This window comes from Homo sapiens, chromosome 12 (genome assembly GCF_000001405.40).
Source record: "Homo sapiens chromosome 12, GRCh38.p14 Primary Assembly".
In the NCBI taxonomy this organism is placed as follows: Eukaryota; Metazoa; Chordata; class Mammalia; order Primates; family Hominidae; genus Homo; species Homo sapiens.
Genome location: NC_000012.12, coordinates 4,537,885 through 4,561,313, shown reverse-complemented (window position 1 = coordinate 4,561,313; position 23,429 = coordinate 4,537,885). Strand labels below are relative to the sequence as shown.

The window sequence follows — 23,429 nt, the reverse complement described above, 5'->3', positions numbered from 1 at the left end:
GGTTGACCTGGAGGTGCACAGTCTGGTCCAGGCAGAAAAGACATTCAAATGAAGCTTTCTGAAAGAGCTGAGTTGAATCTGAGTCTTCAAGGACAGGCAGTAGTTGTCTACGTAAAGGAGGCAAGTCCTATTCTGAAGGCCAGAGCCATAGAAAAGCTTGGTACCATTGTGCCAGCACCCAGTTTAGTGGGGCAGGGATCAAAGTTGCACGTGGGCAGAGACAAGGTTGAAGCAGCAGGAAAGGGGGAGTCAGACACCAAGTAGGCTATGAACTCGACCAGGGTAAGGTGTGTATGTGCAGACTGCAGAGGGGTGTTCATGCTGACTTTATTTTATAAAACCCTCTGTGGCAATAACAATGGAAGTAGGCCCGAGTAGGTTAAGAATCAAGGCAAGGATGCCTGTTAGAAATAGTGAGTGATGATGTTTCAGAGTAAGGGAGAGCACATGGAAGAGTAGTTTTGAGAAATTTAGGAAATGGAGTAAGACTTGGTGACTGGATGTGAAAGTCGAGAGAAGACTCAATCCCAGGATGACACCTTTGGCACCTGCAGTGATGGTGGTGCCATTCATTTACCAACAGAAAACACAGGAGAGATGTCAGGGGTAGGAGGAGACGTTGAATTTAACAACTGATCTGCTACATCAAATTGTCAGTGGACCATCCACAGGTTCTGTTGTCAAGAGCATGGTATAGGGTACAGACCCTGACTTGGCAGTCACTGTCACATAAGTGACCCCTGGAGTTTGCATAGAACATGAAACTGGTAAGACAAGTAGGTAAAGGTGACACAACAGATTAGAAAGCTGCAAAATAATGAAGAGTAGGCATGGAGATGGGAAGAAATGACAAAGAAATGTGTCACATGAGCCAAGGAAATCAAATGTTTTCATCAGAGTATAATGAATAGGGTGTATAAGATTAGGTGAGAAAATTGTACACTGGGTTTGGCAACATAAAGGTATCAGTGCTTTCAGCCAGGCTGGTTTTAACATACTTTGAGGTAATTTTCAAATCCCCTGATAAACTATAAAGAACACGGCAAAAACAGGTTATTGAGCTGGTGCCAGATGATTAATCAATTATATCAGTACCTAATATACAGTAGGCTCTTATGTTTATTGTTGATCTACACCAAATAGAGTACCTCAGTGCTATGTAACTGGAAAATATGTTTTTAAAAAGGGGACAGGTGGGGCAGGTTAGGGGGCTGGTATATGACACTATAAAAATATACGTTAGATAAAAGAAGTGTACAACAGCAATAGACAAATGCTCACTTTAATCACAATTCTAAATTAATTATTTTCACATTAATATAGATATTTCCATAAACCAAGAAAAACTGAGTTATTATACATTTTTTAACAGCTAACATGATTTGAAAATTTTTTATTAAAAATTGATCAGAAGCTAGTTGAAATTCTCAATGTAAATATAAAATATTCATTACAATTGTTTTTCAAAGTAAATTCAGATCTAAGCTTCCTGAAAAGCTGTACTATCTCATATCATAATAGGGATGACTAAGTACTTGACAACTACTTTCTAAAGAACTTAACAAAAAGTGACTACTTGAAGATTACATTTACAACAGAAAGGCTAACATTCTCTGCGGAGCTCTCATTTTATCATGAAATGTGGACAATCAGGAACACGTGGATGAGTGGTATCAAGAAAAAGGGCATTTCAAAATATTTCCACTTTTATTAAAGGTTTTGACAATGAAGATTTCATAAAATGTCTTTAAATACTATTTTCTAGAGAATAACCATCTAAATCGGAGACATATGCCATAAAACTGCAACCATTTTAGTGTGTAAAATAATTCTAAGTTTGTACTATAAAAAGATTTGGCTAAAATACAAAACATCTTTGCGATAAAACTGACAACGTAGCTTAAGTAGCTTATAAGATTTCAGAAATGTCTTCTGAAAGAAATAAGAATGTTTTCCTCTGCCAGATAAAACTGAACAGTTAAAGTTAAGGTGCTATAAACTAGACAAAGCTAGAAAGGCACATCATGTAACTAGAAAAGAACAGCATGTGATGTGGACTTCATGTCGAACTGATAGAAAAACAGAATACGCTCTTCACAAGGAAAGGTATGAGAAGATAATTCTTATAAACAAACTTCTCATTGAAGTCTTGAAGAGTTTTACAGAGAACATAATCATAAAATGGCTAGAGGTCATTTATAGGACATGGTAATGGATTCCTTTATATTACAATACCTGCCTCAAATATAAACACAAATCAAATATAAACACCCTTGTAAAGCTGTGATTCTCCCAACCAAACATTCCTCCTGTACCACACTCAGGTGCTAGTGGCATTTGGATGCAAAGGTTTAACTCGTGCTAATCTGGACAAGCCAAGGCGGAGACTCTGATTGGGAGACTTCACAGACACTACCACCAGTGGGCTGCTGCTACTTCTGCTACCTCCAGATGCCGCTGAAAGGAAACATATGATGTGATGCTGATGATGTCAGAAATCTCTTAACAAAGATTAATTTATAAAATAAGCAGCAAAAAAAAGGTAGTTAAGCATTATTCTGCTTTCCAGTGTCTATCAAGCAATAAACTAGATCAAAAGAACAGAATGTTCTAAAGAGCAGAAATTAATACAGTATTGCCTATTTCCAAACATCCCAGAAGCCAAGGTAATGACACTAAAACCTCACCATGAAAGCTGAAAAAGGAAGGCTGGGAACAAATAATGCTAGTTGTAAAGGCATACAAAAATGCATATAATTATAATTTCTAAAGTAATAGAAAAAGCAAATGCATTTTTAAGGTCCTGCAATTTTTACAAGTAGTCCTTGAAGAGTCTATTTTTCAATTATTAAATACCTTTAAAAATGGCAAATATTGTTATTTATTTATACTAGTTTCATTATACTATTATCCTAATGTCGCAATTATTTCCATCTATTTCAAAATTATCCACATGAATGTTCACAGTTGATGGTGACTGTAGTTGCTCGCCTACACAACAGTATTATAAATTTAAAATAAATAATTATACCTGCTACCCTATAACTCAGACTATACTGCTTTATTGTTTTCTAGTTTGAAAGGTATAAAATAGTATTTTATTTTAATTTACACTTCCTTAATTACCAGTGAGACTGAAACTCTTCATATTTTCTTGTTGTATTAATAGTTCTTGGGGACACTGTTATATTTATGCCTCTGGCTAATTTTACTTTTGGGGTCTTGGTGGTCTTCTCCAGTTGTATAAGATAGGTAACAAACTGGCAATCTGAGGGCCAAATCTAGCTCTCAGATATATTGTTTTGGTTCACATGGTGCTAACAACAACAACAAAAAAAATCAACTTACAAAAATTAGCAGATTTCATATTAAAATCTGGATTTCTGGCTTCTCTTGAAAACAGCAATCAGATCTAGAAATACCAAGCCCATAATCTTGCATGGAAACAATACGATGGAGCTGAGTAGCAGCTGCTTCCTTCAAAAGGGTACGCGCTCCTGAGTCCAACAAAATTCCTACCCACGCAAGTCTACTGCATGGGCCCAATTCACTCGTTTACATCACTTGCCTGACTGTCACATGCTGACTTGATAAGCACTTTGTGCTTGATGACATTAACTCTTTATCCATCATTCCACTGTTTCCTTGTATTTTTTTAATTATGCTACTTTTAAATTTCTATAGTTATATCACTCCATTTAAATTTCCTTCATTGGGGAAGCATTAATTATTTTTAGAAATATACTAAGTATTACTCTTTGAATGATATGACATCAAGTAATTAATCTTCCCTCCTTTCCTTCTCCAAAAAGTTTTTAAGTCCTCATTAAAAATCTTAGAAGTTGTAAACCAGAATGGACTTTAAAGATTACAGTTGTTCCCAATATTTCACATGATGAAATGAAGACTCTGTAAGTTAAGTAATCATGCAGCCTCACAGCTCACGCCTAAATCTATGAATAGTAGTCAGCAGGGGAGTGAGCACTGTGGACCAATCAAGAGAGGCCCCTCAAAAGAAAAACAGGAGTAGAATTGGAAGGGCTCAGGCAAGGAGAGGGGACACATGAAGAAAGACACACCAGGCAGAGGAGGATTAAGAGAGGCCCTGAGAGAGGCATACATACAACATGTTTGAGAGACAAAAAGTGTTTCAATTTCACTGAAGTGGACGGTTCATGCAGGTGGATGACAGAAAGTAAAGACAGGACTGGTTAGGAAAGGCAGCAACAATTTGGGCCTGGATTAGGGTTTTAGTAATGTCAAGAAGGGTGAAGGTCAAAGAATTCTTGAAGGATCCATGAGACTTGGCTGTGGAGCAAAAGAAAACAGAGAAGTGAAATTTGTGAAAGCAAGAGGTTGAGTTTGCTAGGGCATTTGTTAAATGCTAGAATTGCCACATATAGATCCCAAGGCTTCAGTCAGACTGTGGAGGTCAGCAGGTCCTGAGCAAAAGATTTGCTGCCAGAAATACATACTTCAGGAATCTCAAATGTTTACACCCTTTAACACTGTAATTTTCCTACTAGAAATTTTATCCTAGGAAAATAATCAGTAATATGCCCAGAGATTTCTAAAATAAGGACATTTGCACTTATTGCAATCTTATTTATAGCACTGAAAAAATAATAAACCTGGATGTCCAATAATAAGGAATGGTTAAATAAATGAATATATGCAGCAACCAGGAACTTTGGTTTTGAAGAATATGTAATAATATGGGGAAATGCTCACACATGATGTTTGTAACTAGGAAAAAAATTTACCAGTGATAATTTTCCAAGCTCCTGTCCTTGATGATAAATATGCCATACCTGGTGGGACCCATTTAGGTTTCTTGCTTTCAGCTGAAGGACTGCGTATTTCTAATGGTTTCCTAGTGGTATCTGAAGACAGAGAAACCTTTTTTGGCAAGGACTGAGATTCTGATTTGACGGCAGCTGGAGCAGAGTCCACCGAAGTCACTTATTTGAAAAATATACGTAAAAATGTTTGTCATGCAGGAAGAAAAAGTAAGTCTAGCATATATGTGTAAAAATTATAAAGTTACATAATCATATAAAAAATAAACTTATTAATCAACAAACATTTATTGAGAGCCTAAGAATAGCCATCTTTTATGAGCATTAATATGCCAGGCAGTGTGGTAGGCATATCACACACATTACCTCTAACTCTTTACAACAACTCCAATACAGATATTACTATCCCCACTCTCAGAGAAGGAAACAGAGACGTTAAGCAATCTGCCTGTAGTCTGACAGCTAGTAAGCATCTAAGCTTAGAAACCAGATTTTCCTCCAAAATCCCATCCTTGTAACTAACCATTACACAATAGTGTCTCGTGAGTATGTGTCAGTGAGATTATGTGTCAGGCTCTAGGGTTAGAAACATGGCTCCTGCTCCCAAGGACTTTAAGGTTTAGTCACTAGACTTCAGTGGGAAGAACAGGAAAGTAAAGATGTGTAAAATGCAGTGTGGTAAGGGATATGGCAGACTCTAAAGGTATGCCAAGTAGAAAAGGAAACTGCAATCTGGGGGTATGTGTTTTAAAGTTAGAAGGAGGTGAGTGAGGATGGTCTGAACCAAATCAAGATTGAAGAGTAAAGGTGAATTGAGAGAAGCTTTCCAGGCAGAGGGAGTACAGTGTGCAAAGATGGAGGATGCACCAAGTTCCAGAATCAGTAGTACTGACTGGTTCAGTGTACGGCTGGAGCAGAAATCTCAAGGGTAGGAAATGTGAGAGATAGACACTGGGTGTAGATCACTTATGAAGAGCTTTGCAGACCATGTACAAGAGTCTGGCTAGTCACAGTCATGCACATATTTTTCTCAGGAGTGATTTGTATTTTAAAAACATCTTTCTGGTGGTAGTGTAGGAGAAGTAGGCTACTTAGAAGGTTATTATGGTAATCAGGTAAGAGGAAATGGGGGCCTGCTAAGGTGGAGAATAGAAGGAAAACAGCACATTAGATATGTTTTGGCAAAAATAGGTGGGAGGCAGCAATGGAGATGAAGAAATAATCCATGACTTGCAGGTTCCTGTCATGGGCACACTTTGATGGTGCCATTTATCTAGAGAATAAACACAAGCCTGGAAGTATGTTTTGGTTCTATTTATTTATTTTTTTGGTGGTGGGGAGGGAGGAGAGGTGGCATTAAGTTCACTTTCAGACAGTGCTTGTTTTGAGATACCTAGGGGTATTTCAACACATATAAACATGAACATTTTCACCGTATACTCTTCCTAATGTTAACATCTGCATCCTCTAGATCAGCACTGTCTGATGGAACTTTCTGTGATTATAGAAATGTTTTGTGTTTTGTGCTGTCCAATATGGTAGCCGCTAGCCATATACAGTTACTGTGCACTTGAAATGTGGCTTGCAAAACTGAGGAACTGATTTTTAAATTTTACTTAATTTTAATTAATTCAAATGTAATATAGCCACACATGGCTAGAGGTTACCATATTGGACAGCATAGCTCTCAACATTTTTTCTATCAAGGGAAAATTATAACATGTGCTAGACACAATTCGCAAAGTTTACCCAATACATTACTAGTAGGACTAAAAATATAATCCATTTTTCCTAATTCCTAGTCCTATCACTTAATGGTTAAATTTCATTTCTAATATTATATATTAAATCTCAGTTGTGAAGCAACTTGCTCCAAGGGATAGAGAAAAGATTTTAAATGGTAAACTCCAACTTGGGAACTGAAGTTTTATTTTTAGTTATTAGTGTGTCTTGGTGAAGAAGCATAAACAAACATCTAAAGAAAATACAAAATATATTCATGGTGTTAATAACTTTTTCCTATTATAGCTTGTAGTAGGCAGAATACTGGCTCCTCAGATGTCTACATCGTCATTGCCAGAACATGTGAATATGTTACCTTACATGGCAAAGGGACTTTGCAGATGTAATTAAGAATCTTAGATGGGGAAATTACACTGAATTATCTGGAGGGGCCCAATGTAATCACAGGGTCCTTATAAGTAAACGTGAGCAGGAAGAAAGTCAGAGTCGAGTAACATGATGTGAGAAAGTCCCTGCCATTGCTCTCTGAAGGTGGAAGGGGCCACAAGCCAAGAAATGCACCCTCAAGGAGCTAGAAAAGACAAGAACGTGGTTTGTCTCCTAGAGCCTCCACAAAGGACCACAGTTTTGCTGACTACTTGATTTTAGCCCAGTGAGAACCACTTTCGACTTCTGATACTCAGAATTTCTGGAACCCAGATGAAGTCATCAATTAAAAAAAAAACACTCTAATTAAAAAACCTCATTAATTCAAAATACAGGAGAGAGAAGAATATAACTCAATCAGTACTTAATTCTCATTTAATTCTTAGTAAGTACTCAGCAACAGGCTACTGAAGGTGACAGCAGCTCCTATGAATAAATGGAAAGACTAAATAATGGAACTTTTAATATCAATAGCATATATATTAAATAAACCAAGACATAAAAATGATTATCAAGAAATAAAACAAACTCAGTTAATGACAGTTATATTTTGCAATAACCTATCATATACTATGAACTCAAAAATATCCTAACTTCTTTTACACAAGAAACAGGTATTCCATGTTCGAGTCACCATAAATTTTAAACGTTTTATCATAAAAGTAGTTTCTAATGGAATTTGTTTTGGGGAAATAAAAAAAAAAAAAGGGCCCTAAACATGTGGCAAAAGAGCTCTCAAATCAGACTAAGTAAAGCACAAAAGCAAAAAATTAGAATTATGCAAACTTCCTTGTTTTGTCTGGAGAAAATATGGTCCAAGATACAGCTTAGACTCTGAATGGACAAACATGGGTTCAAATTCTAGCCCTTCACCTATTAGATGTAAGATTTCCAACAAATTATTTAACCTCTCTGACACTCAGTTTTTCACTGTAGAATGCAGGTGACAACAGCTAACCACAGACGGCAGCCATGAGTACCAAAGTGAGGTCATATACAGTAAGTGCTAGCATACGTAGTGGAGTCAGCATTCTTGTCCGCTTTTCTCCCTTCCCCACCCCACCTTCCTTTTACATATTTTAACAAGAAATGGACGTTAGGAAAATGTTAAAGAGAACAAAGGCAAAAATAAGAAAAATACGGCAAACAAACCACATACATTTCCTTTATAAAATTAAGTGTTTTGGACCAAGCTTACCCAAAGCATTACATTTGGATTTAGATTTCTTCTCTTTCTTTTCTACTGGGGATTTTACCTTCACTTCTTTCTTTTTAATTTCTTTAACTTTACTTTTTCTCATAGAGAAGTCTTCGTCATTATCCTCACTCTCACAAAAATCAGAATCATCCTCAGAATCTTCACCTAAAACAGAAGATTATATAGTTCATCTTTGCTCTAAAAAGTGAGGATTCTGTTGCCTTAACTTTATCCACAGCTTTCAGATTCTTATGCACCTTTGTGCTGCACTGTTTCCAGTAGCAGAACACTGCAGTGGTTGCCATTGTGGGTGCCTGGGTTTGCATCCTCAGACAGGTCACTAACTTCACTGAGCCTCAGTTTCCTCACCTAGAAAATGGGGATAACTGTAAACCTCCATCAAAGGGTTGTTGCGTGGATTAAATGAGTTAATATATATATAATGCATTTAGAATAACATCTGCAATATACTGAGCAAAATAAAATTGTTTGCTATTACCACCATCACTATAAATTTCCCATCAGTAATCTTTACTTCAGATTTTACCATTTTAACTCAGTGACTTTTGAAAAGAATGGTAGGGTATGACAATAGCTAGTCTTTCAAAACAGTGACATTTATGGTAATAGTGAGCCTTCCCTTAATCACATAAACTTCAACATTCTGGAACAGACCAAATGAGAATTGAGATAACCATACACAACAATCTTAGCAGATAATCCTAGAGCTGATTTCATTTGGGACAAACCTTTATTTCTCAAAAATGCTTTTCTGCACTTCGTGGCAAAATATAAGCCAGTGATCTAATTTTGAAAGTGCTACAGCTGCTCTAGAAAAAAGCATTTCCTAACCTGATAGTTAAGCAATGATCTTTCTATTTTTTGAGGGGGTTAGGATCAGAAAACCATGCCTTGTAGATAAACTCTGAAAACTAAGTGTAAATAGGGTTAGTCCTATATTAATATAAAACTTTTTTACATTTTTAATATTATGGACATGCTTATTGCAGAAAATGCTTAAATCAAAAAATGTACAAATAAAATGAAAAATAAACAGTACATGCTGATTGTAGAAAATACAGACCATACAAAACTTTATTAAAGAAAATCTACTCTGTAATCTCACCACTCAGAGATAACCACTATTGTCCCCACATACTAATATCTACCTATCTATAAGAAATATTATATGTAAAATACAATCATATAAAATTTTCAAACCTATACCACAGTAGACAGTAATAAACCACCACTCAGATTCAACAATTATCAACATTTTGCTCCATTTGTTTCATCTATCTCGCTCTTCTTCTTCTATTCCCTTTTGTAGTATATTAAAATAAAATCAAGGCATCACATCATTACATTCCTACATACTTCAGAATGTATCTCTAAAAAACATAAGCATTTTCTCATACAACAATGCCATTATTACATCTAGCAATACCAACACTAGTTTCTTGGTATCATCTTCTATTCAGTCTATATTAATCTCTTTTAATATAGAGCAGTATCTTCTCCCTGTCCTCCCTTGTGTCTGACTTGCTGAAGCAGTTGAGTCAATTGTCCTGTAGAATGTCCTAAATTCTGGATTTGTCTGTTTTCTAGCTCATGGTGTCATTTAACTTAATCTTGCTTTTTTTTTTTTTTTTTGAGATGGAGCCTCACTCTGTCGCCCAGGCTGGAGTGCAGTGGCACAATCCTGGCTCACTGCAACCTCTGTCTCCCAGGTTCAAGCAATTCTCCTGCTTCAGCCTCCCAAGTAGCTGGGATTACAGGCACACAACACCACGCCCAGCTAATTTTTGTGTTTTAGTAGAGAAGGGGTTTCACCATGTTGGCCAGGCTGGTCTCGAACTCCTGACTTCAACTGATCCACCCACCTCAGCCTCCCAAAGTGCTGGGATTACAGGTGTGAGCCACTGTGCCCGGCCATATTCTTGCATTTTATGTGAGCTGGAATTCTGCTCTCAAGGCTTGAGTGGATTCAGGCTCGCTTTTTTTGGTGGTGGGGGGAGGAGGGACGGCAAGAATATACTTCATAAGTATATTCTTTGTACTTCATATTACATCACATCAGAAATCATATAATGTGTGGTTGTCCCTCTCTTAGGTGGTTCAGGTGATGCCAGCCTGAATTCAACATTGTAAAGATCCTTATCAACCTTCCATTGATGACCTTTACCTAAATCAACAATGTCATTTATGGGCTGGGCACAGTGGTTCACCTCTGTAATCCCAACACTTTGGTAGGCCAAAGCAGGTGGATCACATGAGGTCAGGAGTTCAAGACCACCCTGGCCAACATGCTGAAACTCCATCTCTACTAAAAATACAGAAATTAGTTAGGCATGGTGGCGCATGCCTGTAGTCCCAGCTACTTGGGAGGCTGAGACACAAGAATTGCTTGAACCTGTGAGGCGGAGGCCATGGTCAGCCAAGATCGTGCCACTACACTCCCGCCTGGGCGACAGAGCGAGATTCCATCTCAAAAAACAAAACGAAACAAAAACAAAAAACAATGTCATTATGATCTTCAAATTGCAATGTCCTTATTCTATCATTGTTCCCACACACAATGTTAAAGATAATCAACTCACATGTTCACATAACGGTTCCCGTGCTATAGAGAATCAGCCCAGAAAGGCCAGCAGGTCCCATGAGGGCTGTTAGAAATGCAGCCTGCAAATTCAAGCAATCCTAAGAAGCTCTCCGCTCAAAGAAGGCAAGGGGTAGAGGAACTTTCTCCAAACTTTCCAAATATATTATCTACAACAAAACTTTCTGTGTATCCAATAGTTCTGATACTGCATGTGTTCAGTAACTTAGAAGTCTGAAGGATTCTCTTCTTGGCTCAAGAGGATAAACAGTAGGCCCTGGCAACATTTCTGTGTAACAAGCTTGTTCAGAAATGGGGTCCAACTAATCTTCGTCAGTCAATTGAGAAAGCAATTTAAATAAAATTAGAGATGGGGAGTTGGAATTCCCAAAATTCCAAGTCATTCGCATCCCATAGAGGAAAATCTGGAAGGCCCAAACACTTCAGTTACGGATTTTGGGAACTGTTAGAGAAAAGACTTATCTTCTCTGCAATTTTCTCTTTTCTTTCCCTAATGAAGGTCACACATGGTCCTTTCTATTCTCATCCAGGACAAGCGAATGCAGGGGGAAAACTGAAATGTCACTTTGGGGCTGCTTCCACTTCTTGGCTATTATGAATAATGCTGCTATGAACACGGGTATGCAAATGTCTCCCTGAGATCCTGCTTTCAATCGTTTTGGATACATACTCAGAAGTGGATTGCTAGATCATATAGTATAGGCTGAGTATCCCTTATCTGAGGTGCTTGGGACCAGACATGTTTCAGGGTTCAGATTTTCTTTGGGTTTTGGAACATCTGCATTATACCAGTTGGGCATTCCAATTCCAGAAATCCAAAATGCTCAAATGAGTATTTCCTTTAAGCATCACATTGGCGCTCAAAGAGTGTCTTTGCATTTTCCTGTCTCCCAGGCCCTCCCAAAGTAAAACAAATGCAAAACAGTCTTTTTTCATGTATTTCCGTTGTTCCAGAAGGACAGGAGCTGTTTGTTTTTTTCACTATTGTATCCCTAGTATCTAGAATATAATGCACATAAAAAGCATTCAAATATTAGTCGAATAAGTGACGATGAGCAAATCTGTTATTGTTTGTTGATAGTATATCAAAATCTAAAATATGGTATCTTGATTTGGCCTACATTTATGAATTTATGAATTTAAATTTTTAATTAATATGTTATAATGTTCTGTCAAGGTCACTACACTTTCCATTTGCCCAATTTCTAAATGAGTCTAAAAACCATCATAATAAAATATAGATTTCATATCACTTCTGCCTCAGAATAATTCATGGATTTCTACTACCTCCAGGAAAAAAAAGCCTACACTTCTTCCAGTGGGTCTGAGACCCTCCCTGATTAGTACCAGCCTCCCTCTCGAGCCTCTTCCATGTTCATCCCAGCAAGCCTCAGTTAGAGACAAATAGAGCATTTGTCTATTCCACAGGTAATGCCTTTCTGTTAGTCAGAAATGCTACTTTACACCTTTAGTTTGTTGAAACGCTACTCATTTTTCAAGGCATAGCTTAAAGGTTAACTCGTAGAAAAAACTTTTTCCCCAAATGCTATCACTGAATTGAACTGTTCTGTGTGTCCCTGAAGTTTGCACACCCCAAAGGTTTAACACAGTGCTTTGCACAATTAATAGCTTCCAAGAACTTTTTTGACTGAATTCCCATAGAATTAATTTCGAAGTAGAATAAAACCTACCAGGTGCAAAGTCTGGTTCAGTGTCATTAGCACTATCACCATCACTGCCTTCCAGAAGAATCTTCCTCTGCTGTGCTGCAGCTTTAGATGCTGCTTTTCTTTTCCCTTGAACACCACCAACATCATCTTCCACAGTAATCTTATCCAAATCTTCAGGAGAGGCATAAAAATCAATGGAAAACTTTCTGTGACAACTGATATTTCAAGAACTGCAGACCAGACTCTATTACAGCTATTGTTTTTATTTGCCCAGGTTCATCCCTCCCATGCTTCCAGTAATAGACTATTAGCCCAATCTGGGTCAACCATGGTACATCAGTGCCCTGGGAACACCTCTAGTTTTAGGGATAAATCCAAGACCCAAACAGAGATAATCTTTCCCCCAAAATTTTCAAACTAGAATTGGGAATATGCAGCCCCTTTCTTCAAAGGTCAGTTGCTCCAACTAGAAGCCACGGGTAGTTATGACCCTTCAGGGAAGAATGTGTGTCTGCAGTACGACAGAATGAGACTAAAACACAAAGAAATAAAGGCCATGACATCAAGAGAGTCTTGACAAATTTAAAGAACTTGCTTCTAGCCACAATTTCAGCAATTTAAACAAAAGTCAGAGAAACAGCATTGTTGATGAGAAAAATTATTAATATAAAAAACTTACCTAAATAATCACTGGCTACACTGCAATTAGAGATATGAGGAGACTTATTCATTGTTTCTATTTTACTACTGCCATGTTTTTCAATGCCTAAATATAAGGAATAAGAAAGAAAATTCAGATATATCTTAATCAATGTCTAGATATAGGAAAATTAGTACTAAAATGTAATAGCATTTAGATATAAATAAATGATCCCAAACTCCAACTGGCACAATAATTTTATTCAGAGAGGTTAACATATGGTTAGAAGTCTGGGCTCTGAAATCTAACATGTTTAAATTCAGGCTCTACCATGTAAACTGGCTATATGACCATGGGCAAGTTGCTTATCCTAAGACTGAATTTCCTCATCTATAATGTGGAGATAAAAATAGTGTCTTACCCAGTGGTATTACAGAAGACCAAATGTGGATCTCACATAGGAATTGCTTATTATTGTGCCTAATATACAGGAAATGGTCAATAAACTATCAATTCTGTGTAGGCAAATCCATGCTTTTACTAACGTTAAGAACTCTCCAATCGTTATAATAACCTTAAAATGACCCAAAGCATTCTAAGAGGACTTTAAGACATAATAATTGGTACTATTAAATTCCAATGCTATAAGGTGCATTATTTAATAAGAAATGGTATAATATTAATACTTCTAAGGAACTCCCCTTATACATTCTACAATGTCTTAAAAGAGAGAGATGAATTTCAGTGCCTCCATTTTAAATGTAATTCATGATAATTCTCTTTTGATGTTTCTTTGATTCTTGGTTACTAAAAGTCTTCCTAATCAAACTTTCATTTCTTTTTAAAGAGGAGGCAGCCAGATAAGGTGGCTCTCGCCTGTAATCCCAGCACTTTGGGAGGCTGAGGCAGGAGGATTGCTTGAGGCTGGGAGTTTGAGGGCAGCATGCGCAACATAGTGAGACCCCTCTCTACAAAATAAAAAATTAGCCAGGCATGGCGGCACATGCCTGTAGTCCCGGCTACTCAGGAGGCTGAGGCAGGAGGACTGCTTGAGCCTAGGAGGTCAAGGTTGTATTGAGCCATGATCATGCCACTGTATTCCTGCCTGGATGACAGAGAGAGACCCTGTCTCAAATAAATAAATAAATAAGGAGGCAGTACTGATTTAAGAAACAAAGAAAAAAGCTCCATGTATACCCCTAAATAAGATAATAAGCTAAAATATCCCCCAACATAAAAACTTTAAGCCAAAAAGCATTTTAGCAGTAGAGTATCTTTTTCAGGAATAATGATTTCTGCCTCTCTAGAATATTAATATATTGCCAGAAAAATCAAAGGAGAAAATCAACAGAGAAATCCAAAAGCCATTCTCTTAAGTCTACTGAACTTGCTAACCAAATTAATACCTTTGACCTTTGTAAGTAATAAAAATTACCATAATTAGGGTATGTTTAACTGATCTGGAAAAAATGGAGATGGATTGTTAGGACTGTACAGATCAAATCATTTGATGAAGAAATTAAATGTTCACTGTACAACAACATATAATTCGAACACTGAGGCTCACAGTCCGTGCCCTCAAGCTTATTCTGGGTGTTAAGCAGAGATGTATGTCTGTTTGTATGAGATTTAGGCAGCTGAATTAAGAACTAAATCCAATCGTATTCTCTGCAAATGGGTCTATTTATAGTGCAAAGTATTCACATTTTACCTGTTTCCTCTGTGAAGGCCCACCCAAACAAATAATCACAAAAGCATTAAGAAGGTTTTAAAGCTAAATATACAGAAAATAAAGTTACTTTTATCTTGAGAGTTCTGCACATTAGTGGTGACTGTTGGAAGTTCCTTCACTGATAAAGCTAGTGCAACTTCTAAGTCTCTCTGGTAGAGCTTGTCATCTAAAGCCATCCTAAAATAGATACACAAGTAATAATGAGTTCTTCAAAATATCAATCTCAACTAAAGAGCAAAGTTTGAGATTTCTCCAAATTACTATTCAAGAGTTGCTAACTTCGCAAAAATGTTTTTAAACAATCATCATTAATAGACCTTTGATGATAAGATAAGACTCCTAAAATGTCACAGTATCATGTTACATACAGAATAAGAGGTTTGAAATAGGAGGACCATGTGCCTCTTTGCAATGACTGTTCCCTTTCATTGTAATGTGTCACCTTACTACCAGCTGTGTCCAGGTGGGAAACACCCTACTCAACCCAAAACAGACTTGGTTCAAACATCACTTCCACTTAAAACTCTTCCTTGACCTCACCCACTCCCCTTTAGCAGATTTTATAGCTCTTACATTAAATTAAAATTATTATCATTTTTTTACATCTCTTCCTCCCAATCCAGACTTTAACAAATATTTTACCAAGCACTTACTTTGTACAAGGCACTGCACTAGCTGGAATACTAAAAGTACCTTCAGGGAGTCTGCAATTAAAGGAGGAGGGTGGGGAAACAAGACATGCTAATAATTATCCTATAAAAGGCAGACTATAAAGTCCTATTCAAGCTGCTCAAAAGTGCTATGGAGTATAAGAGGAAGAAAACGTCAAAGACAGATAAGGAAAAGTTACATAAAGGAAGAAGCACTGAGATGTACCTTAAAGAATTTATTTTTTTAGAATAACAGTTTTCTTAAGATATAATTCACATATCATAAAGTTTACCTTTTAAAGTAAACAATTCAGCAGTTTTTAGTACATTCACAGAGCTGTAAAACCACCAACACTACCTAATTTCAGAACATCTTTATTACCCCAAAAAGAAACCCCATACCCATTAGCATTCACTTCCTGTTTACCCCTCTCCCCTCCTAGCAACCATTAATCTGCTTTCCGTTTCTATGGATTTGCCTATTCTGGACATTTCATGCAAATGAAATCATGTAATATGTGACCTGTATATCTGGCTTCTTTCACTCAGAATGATGTTTCCAAGGTTCATCCATATTGCAGTATATATCAGTTATCAGTTGTCATTTCTTTCTATGGCTGAAAAATATTCCATTTTGTGGAAACCACATTTTACTTATCCATTCATTAGCAGATAGACATTTAGATTGCCTCCATTTTTTTTTAGCTATTATGAATAATGTTGCTGTGAACATTCATGTATGGGTTTTTGTGTGGGCATATGTTTTCATTTCTCTTGGATACATACATAGGCTGGGTCATGTAATAACTCTGTTTAACATTTTGAGGAACTGCTAAACCATTTTCCAATTTAGCTGCACCATTTTACTTTCCCACCAGCAATATATGAGGGTTCAAATTTCTCCACATTCCTTGTCTTTTGTATTAAGTCATCTAGTGGGTGTGAAGTATTATCTCATTCTGATTTTGATTTGCATTGCCCTCACAGCTAATGATATTGAGCATCTTTTCATGTGTTTATTGGTTATTTGTTTATCTTCTCTGGAGAAAGTCTATTGAAATCTTTTGCACATTTTAAATTGTGTTGTTAGTCTTTTTACTGTTGAGTTTTACGAGTTCTGTGTATACTCTGGATACAGTCCCTTATCAGTTATCTGATTTACAAATATTTTCTCCCACGTGTGGGTTCCTTTTTCTATATATTTAAAATGTAATACAAGAAACTCACAAACAAAAACCAAAAAAAAGAAAAGCAAAAAAGAGCATGACATGAGGTAAGTTTCTCCAGGCTAACTCACTTTTCATAGAGAAACTTGTGGCAGTAAAACATTATATATGCCATGTTCCATTTGTTAATATTCCCCTTCCGCCCATCTCTTCTCCATACTGCAAGTTTTGGGTCTCTAAGGACTTCCTTCACTCCTTTCTGCCTCTTGATACTATCTAATGGAATTCCACGGTTAGTCTAGAAACTATGGGAACTTCTCACTGCTGGATAAATCTTAACAACATGGGGAGAAGACATCTTTTTCTGCAAGAAAATACATGGTTTTATATTTTAAAAACTGTCCTCATATTAAGTCATCTTGTGTCTTAATCATCTTAAGTCATCTAATGTCATTTTTAACAAAGTAGTCTCGTATGATTTGAGGAATTCAGAGATAAGTGCTGGGTCCTGTCAAAACCAGTCATAACTTCTGAATTCTACAATCATTATTGTCTTAATATTTAATGATACTTCCTTGAATGTTTGTGAATTTCTTTAAGTCAGAAAGCCAGAAAAAAATAGTACGTCCTGTTTTCTGACTGCACCTAGTAAAATAAGACCTATGACTCTGCCCAAGTTCTAATTTAAATCAAGGGTTCGAATCTGTGTCTCTTTAAAATTAACACATCTAATGTCATATATTTACTGCATGTCTTACCTCTCACCTTTTTTTAGGGGTTTTCTCTTGTACTGGGATTTCTTCTTTCCGGAGATTGTTCAAGTTAGGTTTTGGTTTATCTTGTTTTAACTCCTTTGGTGCTGTTCTGGATTTCTTGTTTAAAGGTACAGTTGCAGAAACAAAATCATCTATTCATGTGTGAATTAAAACCAAAAGAAAAATATTATTTTCTTCATAAATGAAAATCATTACCATGTGTGTTCAAGTTTTTATAGGCTAGGCAAATTGTTTAATTTCCACAATTTAAAAATCATTGTTAGTATTTTGTTTATCTTTACTCTCATTTATCTATTTCGACTTTTGTTTTTGTGCCCTTTATATTTAAAAATATCAGTCTATCAAAAACCAATTCACTAAAAACTGCAAAAGCAATTAAGACAGCATATAAGTGTCAAAGAAAAAATGATTAAAAACCTGTAAAACCATTAGAAAAATTGGTAGAATTTAATCACATTGAAAAGTGGAAATAAATTATTTTTATGGGAACTTCACAATGTAGCCAAATATCTTTTTTCAAAGCCCATTACTTGGGCCAGGCACAGTGGCTCACACTTGTAATCCCAGCACTTTGGGAGGCCAAGGCGGGCAGATCACCTGAAGTCACGAGTTCAAGACCAGCCTGGCCAAAGTGGTGAAACCCTGTCTCTACTAAAAAATACAAAAATTAGCCAGGCATGGTGGCGGACACCTATAATCCCAGCTACTCAGGAGGTGAGGTGGGAGAATCGCTTGAACCTGGGAGGCAGAGGTTGCAGTGAGCCAAGATCGCGCTGTTGCACTCTAGCCTAGGTGCAAGAGTGAGACTCCGTCTCAAAAAAAAGAGAAAAAAAAGCCCATTACCTATTCCTAGTACATTAACCATGCTAGAGGAAATAAGCATTATGGGGGGAAGAGAAAGTAGCTCCTATTTGAGGATTTTTACAATAGTAGTATTTTCTCTTTCCATTACCATAATGATCTTCCTAAGATCCTACCAAAGTAACTTCTTATTTTCTTGCAAAAGGATGTTCTTTTCCAGTCCATTACTGTTTCTCACAGGTTTTTCTGTCTTACCAATCCTCTGAACTGTTGTAGTTCTACTCTTGACTGTCAACGTAAAACTACTGCTGTGGCTTTTCCACATGTATACAACACATATATGCATACTTTCAGGGTCTATGCAGTCTTCATCACATACTCAGCAAGCACTAATACTTGTTGTCTCTTATATGCTTCCCCATGTAAAAATAAGATAACTTAGGACTCCCCCCACCTACTACTACACACCTGGCAATTTATAAGTATCTGATGACAGACTGATGACAAAAAAAAAAAAAAAGCTAGATGTTATACTCTACACTCTTTTTCCCAAGTGGTAGATACAGTTAAGGCTGTGCTCAAGGCAAAAACAGATTCCTTCAAACCGAAGACTTACTAAATATTTGACTTACAGAAAACTCTAGTGGTCTAAGAAAGAAATATTAAATCCACTTCAACATATAACATAATCTAATGCAATGTTCCTCAAACTTTTCAATCATAGCAGAGTCAAGTAAACATATGACTAATGCTTAAAAGGCATAACATAAGCCTAACCTTTCTTCAAGGTCTTGTTTTATAGTACAATTAATAGGGATTTTATATAATATGCTGTAACATCTTTGTATCTCAAAAAGACAGTGTTTTCCTTCTTCAGGGATGGAATAGGAGACAAACCTCTATGTTGCAACTATGGACTTTAGAGTAGTTTAGATCTAAAGAGACTTTTCACCTGGCCTGTTCATTTATCACCTACTAACATAATTTTTATCAGTATAATTATCAGCATAATTATCCCAAATGATTAGAAAACTATCTTTCCAGACCTACCTCATATGCATTTGGGCAATTTAGTCAGTGTTTGAGCTATATATGTCATATAAATTCCGAGGAAATGAGTTTCCAAATCTTTAGAACAAAAATAAGAAGCTTTACTTACCATCACTGTCAGAGTGGTCAAACTGTGAGTAATTGACTGGTTTCTTATGTCTATGACCAAAACAGAATTTTTTCATTAACACAAATGTCAATTTCTCACCACTATTACTTAAGGCTATTAATGAATATTATTTATTTATTTAATATTATTCATTTATTAATAAATAATGAATAAACGAAATAAATAAAAATGTGTTAAATGAAATGTGTTTCAATAAATGAAAATGTGTTTGGGTTCAAGTAAGAATATTTAACTCTAAAACATGATTTGCATTTTACCGCGGGGATTTATCATTAGCTAAAATAGTTACAACTATACCTGATATACCTGGGTATTGTTGGCTTTTCAATTATATGATAAAGGAAAAAAATTCAGGTAACTTACAAAGAATAATCTACATAATTAACATTTATAATTGCTATACTGTTTAATTGCTGTTGGGCATTTGTAAGTTCCCGTTGTACGTGTTCTTCTGTTTTGTGTGTGCATTCTATCTTCCTTACTAGATTATAAATTTCTTGACACTAAAAGCTACTTTCTTTTCAATCTCTCCACCATACCAAATAACATTTTTATGCAACGGACACTTAAAAATGGTGAGTGACCTTGTTCCTACCACCTGAGATGAGTATCCCTTATCTGAAATGCTTGGAACCAGAAATGTTTTGAATTTTGGATTTTTTCAGATTTTGGAATATCTGCATTATATACTTACCAGCTGAGCATCCCAAATCTGAAAATCTAAAATCTGAAGTGCTCCAATGAACATTTCCTTTGAGTGCCATGTAGGTACTGCAAAAGTTTCAAATTTTGGAGCATTTCAAATTTGGGATGCTCAACTTGTACTACTTCAGAGGGCATTAGAAGAAAATGATATTCAAAGTGAAAAAAATAATTTTTTCCTCCCTCCTCTAGGCACTAAATAAAATGTTTTTCTAGTTTTTATTTCTATATTTTTGTCAAATGGCTAAATGTGAATAACCTAATTTGTCAGCTGGTTGTTCTTTCAAGTAAAAAGAATGTTCTATGAAAAAGAGGTAGTAAGCTCAGCTCACAACTCAGACAATCTCACAAGTGCTTTTCCTTGAGATAACTATCACGCATCAGTATACAGAAGTGCTTTATGTGTACTTCCTGTTTCCTCACGCAAACTATTAAAAAGTGCACTCATATTACTCTCTTACTCTTCAGAGTTAAAGAAGTTAGAGCTGAATAAAATGTGAAAACCCCTTTATAAATTCTGAACTTGAATAATAGTAAAATAAAATCAATAGCCTATTTTTAATTAGTATACTTAAGGGTTAAGCTATGATGAATATAATAATTTCCACTACTTCATCAAGCATATTCTTAACTGAAATGATTTTTTTTTTTTTTTTTACTTTTAAGAGTATGGCAGTAAACATTGCAAAGACTAGTAGTACAATTTAGTGCCACTGCCTTAATTGTTCTGAGGTGCCAGCAGTTTTATCGGGGTCACTGCAGTGCAAATGACAAAGCAGCGAAAAAGGCAAATCATATCTTAGTATTGTTATGAAAGGAGTTTTGACCTCATAGACCTCTAGAGAAGTTTCCAGGGACCCACAGAGGTCTGTAGACCATACTTTAACAACTGCTGTTCCTTACAAAGGGATTATGACTCCACTGCCTGGATGCTTAAAACCCATTTCAAATTCAGCATGTTCGAAACAGAAATCTTGATCCCTCACACCTCCTAACCTTCCTTTTCCTAGTCTTCCCTATCTTAATACAAAGATCATCCATCCTGTAGCTCAGACCAAAACTATTGTGGAGTCATCTCTGATTCTTTCTTTCCCTTACCTGTACATCTACTTCATCAGCAAGTTCTGTCCACAGTGCCTCCGAAATACATCCCAAATTCATCTGTTCCATTCCATGCCCACTAATAATACCCTATCCCAAACCGCTCTCCAATGATATAATACCTGATTTTCCTGCTCCCGTTCTGGTCACCCTATCCATCATTTATTCTCCACCAACAGCCAGTGACCTTTATAAAAGCAAACTTAGATTCCTCTCCCCTACTTAAAACCCTCCACTGACTTCCCATTGACTTAAAATAAAACCTAAACTCCTTTCTAAGACTTACAAGACCCTATCTGTTCTGGCACCTGCCTATTTCTCTGGCCTAATCCCCCTACGATTCTCCCCACTGCTTGTTAATCCTATAGCATTAGACTGTCCCTAAAATATGGTCAAGTATGGGGCCTTGGCTCCTATTCCCTCTACCCTGATTCATGACTCAGTGCATGCATTATCGCCTCAGAGTCACATATTAACTACTATATTTAAAGTAGTGCTTTCCTCTTTCGCACTCTCATATTTCGAGGCTTATTTTCGGCCCCCTAACCTCACCTCCCACTGGAATGTAACCTCCAGCACCTCGTACACTAAAGAAGTGAATATATTCAATAACTTTATTAAATGAATGGCTAACTATAGGCTTCCATGGCACTCAACTGTGTAAATAGAAGAATCGTTTCTAATACCACGATGGAAAGCACAGAGGATCTTGAGTGAGATGACTTAGGTTTGAGTATTGCCCTGCCACTTACTGGGCTGTATGACTCAGATAACTTACCCTCTATACGTAGAAATGTTAAATCAATACAACAGGAATGCTTACTCTTTCTATATCAAATAACTACAGTGATAAACAAATAAAATAACACATAATTGGGCGCTCGGTGAAATGTAAAGCGCTGTTCAAACGCTAACAAGGTCTTGGTAAAAGAAACGGCGACGGTTGTGAAGGGAGGCAAAGAGAAGGAAAAAGCTACGATGCTAGGATACTTCTGAGCAACGGGTGGCTCTCACTGGAGACTGGGTTCTTGATAACCGTCCATCCTAACCCCACCATCGCTGCCCTCCGGTCTTACTCGATCCTTTCCCCTTAGTCTCATGTCTTTTCCCTTAGTTTTCCTCCCACCCCCGACGAATGTCAGGAACTACCCACCTCACAGGCCGCACCATGGTCCCTTTCAAGGCTTGGTATTTACAGTTCTCAAATTCTTGTTGGCTTCAGCGGCGGTTTCAATTCCCGCCCAAAACCAGACTTCGGAGCCCTCCGCCCCCTGTTACCAGTCGTCCAATCATCACCAGCCATGCTTGCGGCGGCGCACGCGCTGTGGGGAAAGCGAATTTGCTCCCGCCCTCCCCAAGGCACCGCTTTTCCGTATCCGGTCCACCAGAGCCGAGTTTGTGCTTTGTCCCTGCACTTTCGTCACAACGGCGGATTTGCCCTGTCTCTGAAATACAGAATAACAATAGAAATACACCTTATTGCACCTTTCAAATTGTTAAATTGAAACAGGTTGGGACATAGGGGCACTTGGACTGAGAAATTTTCTACAAGATGCCAGGAAATAGAAAAGGATGTGGCGAATCTACGTTCGCGGATCCGCGGTGTGGAAAAAGTATGTCGGCAAGTCAGCTGGTTTCCCAGTGCAGGACGCGCTGACAGCTCGAGTGAGCGGACTGCCCAGGACTTCGGAACTAGACGAGGTGAGCCCAGAACCGAGTGAGGATGCCCTTTCAGACTGACAACCGTTACAGAGGGATTAGTCCCCTCACCCGGCTGAAGTTTCTCAGCTCGACCGTCTGTCTTCCTTTTCCCTGATTAATGTGAGCCTCAGAGCCTCCGCTCTGTTGGCTGTGTGTGTTCGGTCCAGACCTTCCATCCCATTTTCTTATGGGAAACCTTCCTGGATTTCACGGTTGCTAAAACTGAACCCAGGCTTCAGGATAGACCATTAGTCTAAAAAAAGAGCGAGAGGAGAAAGAACTAAAGTTATCAGTTTCTTGAAACACAAGTCTAAATGTTGAACCAGAGCTTTTGTGTCTGCCTTCTCTTTTTTTTTTCAACATTCCTGATTCATTCATATTTTTGCATTTATCAGTGGTTGATTCTTTTTTATTGCTGTGTAGTATTTATCTCATAAAATAAACAAGTTTACTATTCTCCTACTAATACGCATTTTGGTTGTTTCCAGTTTGGGGTATTATAAATAAAACTTATATGAGCATTC

General features: G+C 37.1%; 2 protein-coding genes across 28 annotated transcripts in view, besides 3 other annotated features; one reads left to right on the top strand and one right to left on the bottom strand.

The window, feature by feature from the left end:
- Positions 1–1,266: 1,266 nt before the first annotated feature.
- Positions 1,267–22,424, bottom strand: RAD51AP1 (RAD51 associated protein 1). 17 transcript variants are annotated; one of them, XM_047428085.1, is made up of 10 exons: positions 22,358–22,424; positions 19,381–19,430; positions 17,410–17,551; positions 15,482–15,532; positions 14,896–15,005; positions 13,136–13,222; positions 12,478–12,627; positions 8,167–8,331; positions 4,764–4,961; positions 1,267–2,457 (listed from the first exon to the last, which is right to left on the bottom strand). In XM_047428085.1, exons 1-10 carry the CDS (start codon positions 22,372–22,374, stop codon positions 2,321–2,323), a joined length of 1,107 nt encoding a protein of 368 aa, XP_047284041.1. In that variant the 5' UTR covers positions 22,375–22,424; the 3' UTR covers positions 1,267–2,320. The 17 variants fall into 17 exon arrangements, with proteins under 17 accessions (XP_047284041.1, NP_001124334.1, XP_047284045.1 ...); NM_001130862.2 differs by having other exon boundaries at positions 4,812–4,961; XM_047428089.1 differs by lacking the exon at positions 4,764–4,961.
- Positions 21,992–22,600: an enhancer, noted in NCBI's record as "H3K27ac hESC enhancer chr12:4647880-4648488 (GRCh37/hg19 assembly coordinates)". NCBI's record gives its function as "activates a minimal SCP1, AML or CMV promoter by ChIP-STARR-seq in primed H9 embryonic stem cells {active_cell/tissue: H9 hESC(primed)}" and the evidence as "EXISTENCE:reporter gene assay evidence [ECO:0000049][PMID:30033119]".
- Positions 22,601–23,210: an enhancer, noted in NCBI's record as "H3K27ac hESC enhancer chr12:4647270-4647879 (GRCh37/hg19 assembly coordinates)". NCBI's record gives its function as "activates a minimal SCP1, AML or CMV promoter by ChIP-STARR-seq in primed H9 embryonic stem cells {active_cell/tissue: H9 hESC(primed)}" and the evidence as "EXISTENCE:reporter gene assay evidence [ECO:0000049][PMID:30033119]".
- Positions 22,816–22,865: a silencer, noted in NCBI's record as "silent region_4154". NCBI's record gives its function as "represses an Ori minimal core promoter by ATAC-STARR-seq in GM12878 lymphoblastoid cells {active_cell/tissue: GM12878}" and the evidence as "EXISTENCE:reporter gene assay evidence [ECO:0000049][PMID:35858748]".
- The window catches only part of FERRY3 (FERRY endosomal RAB5 effector complex subunit 3), a 50,735-nt gene continuing 50,150 nt past the window's right edge, over positions 22,845–23,429 (top strand). For all 11 annotated transcript variants that reach the window (NR_144382.2, NR_144380.2, NR_144379.2 and 8 more), the window contains exon 1: positions 22,845–22,905. The gene's annotated coding sequence lies outside the window, so the exon portion shown is untranslated. The remainder of the gene's footprint in view (positions 22,906–23,429) is intronic.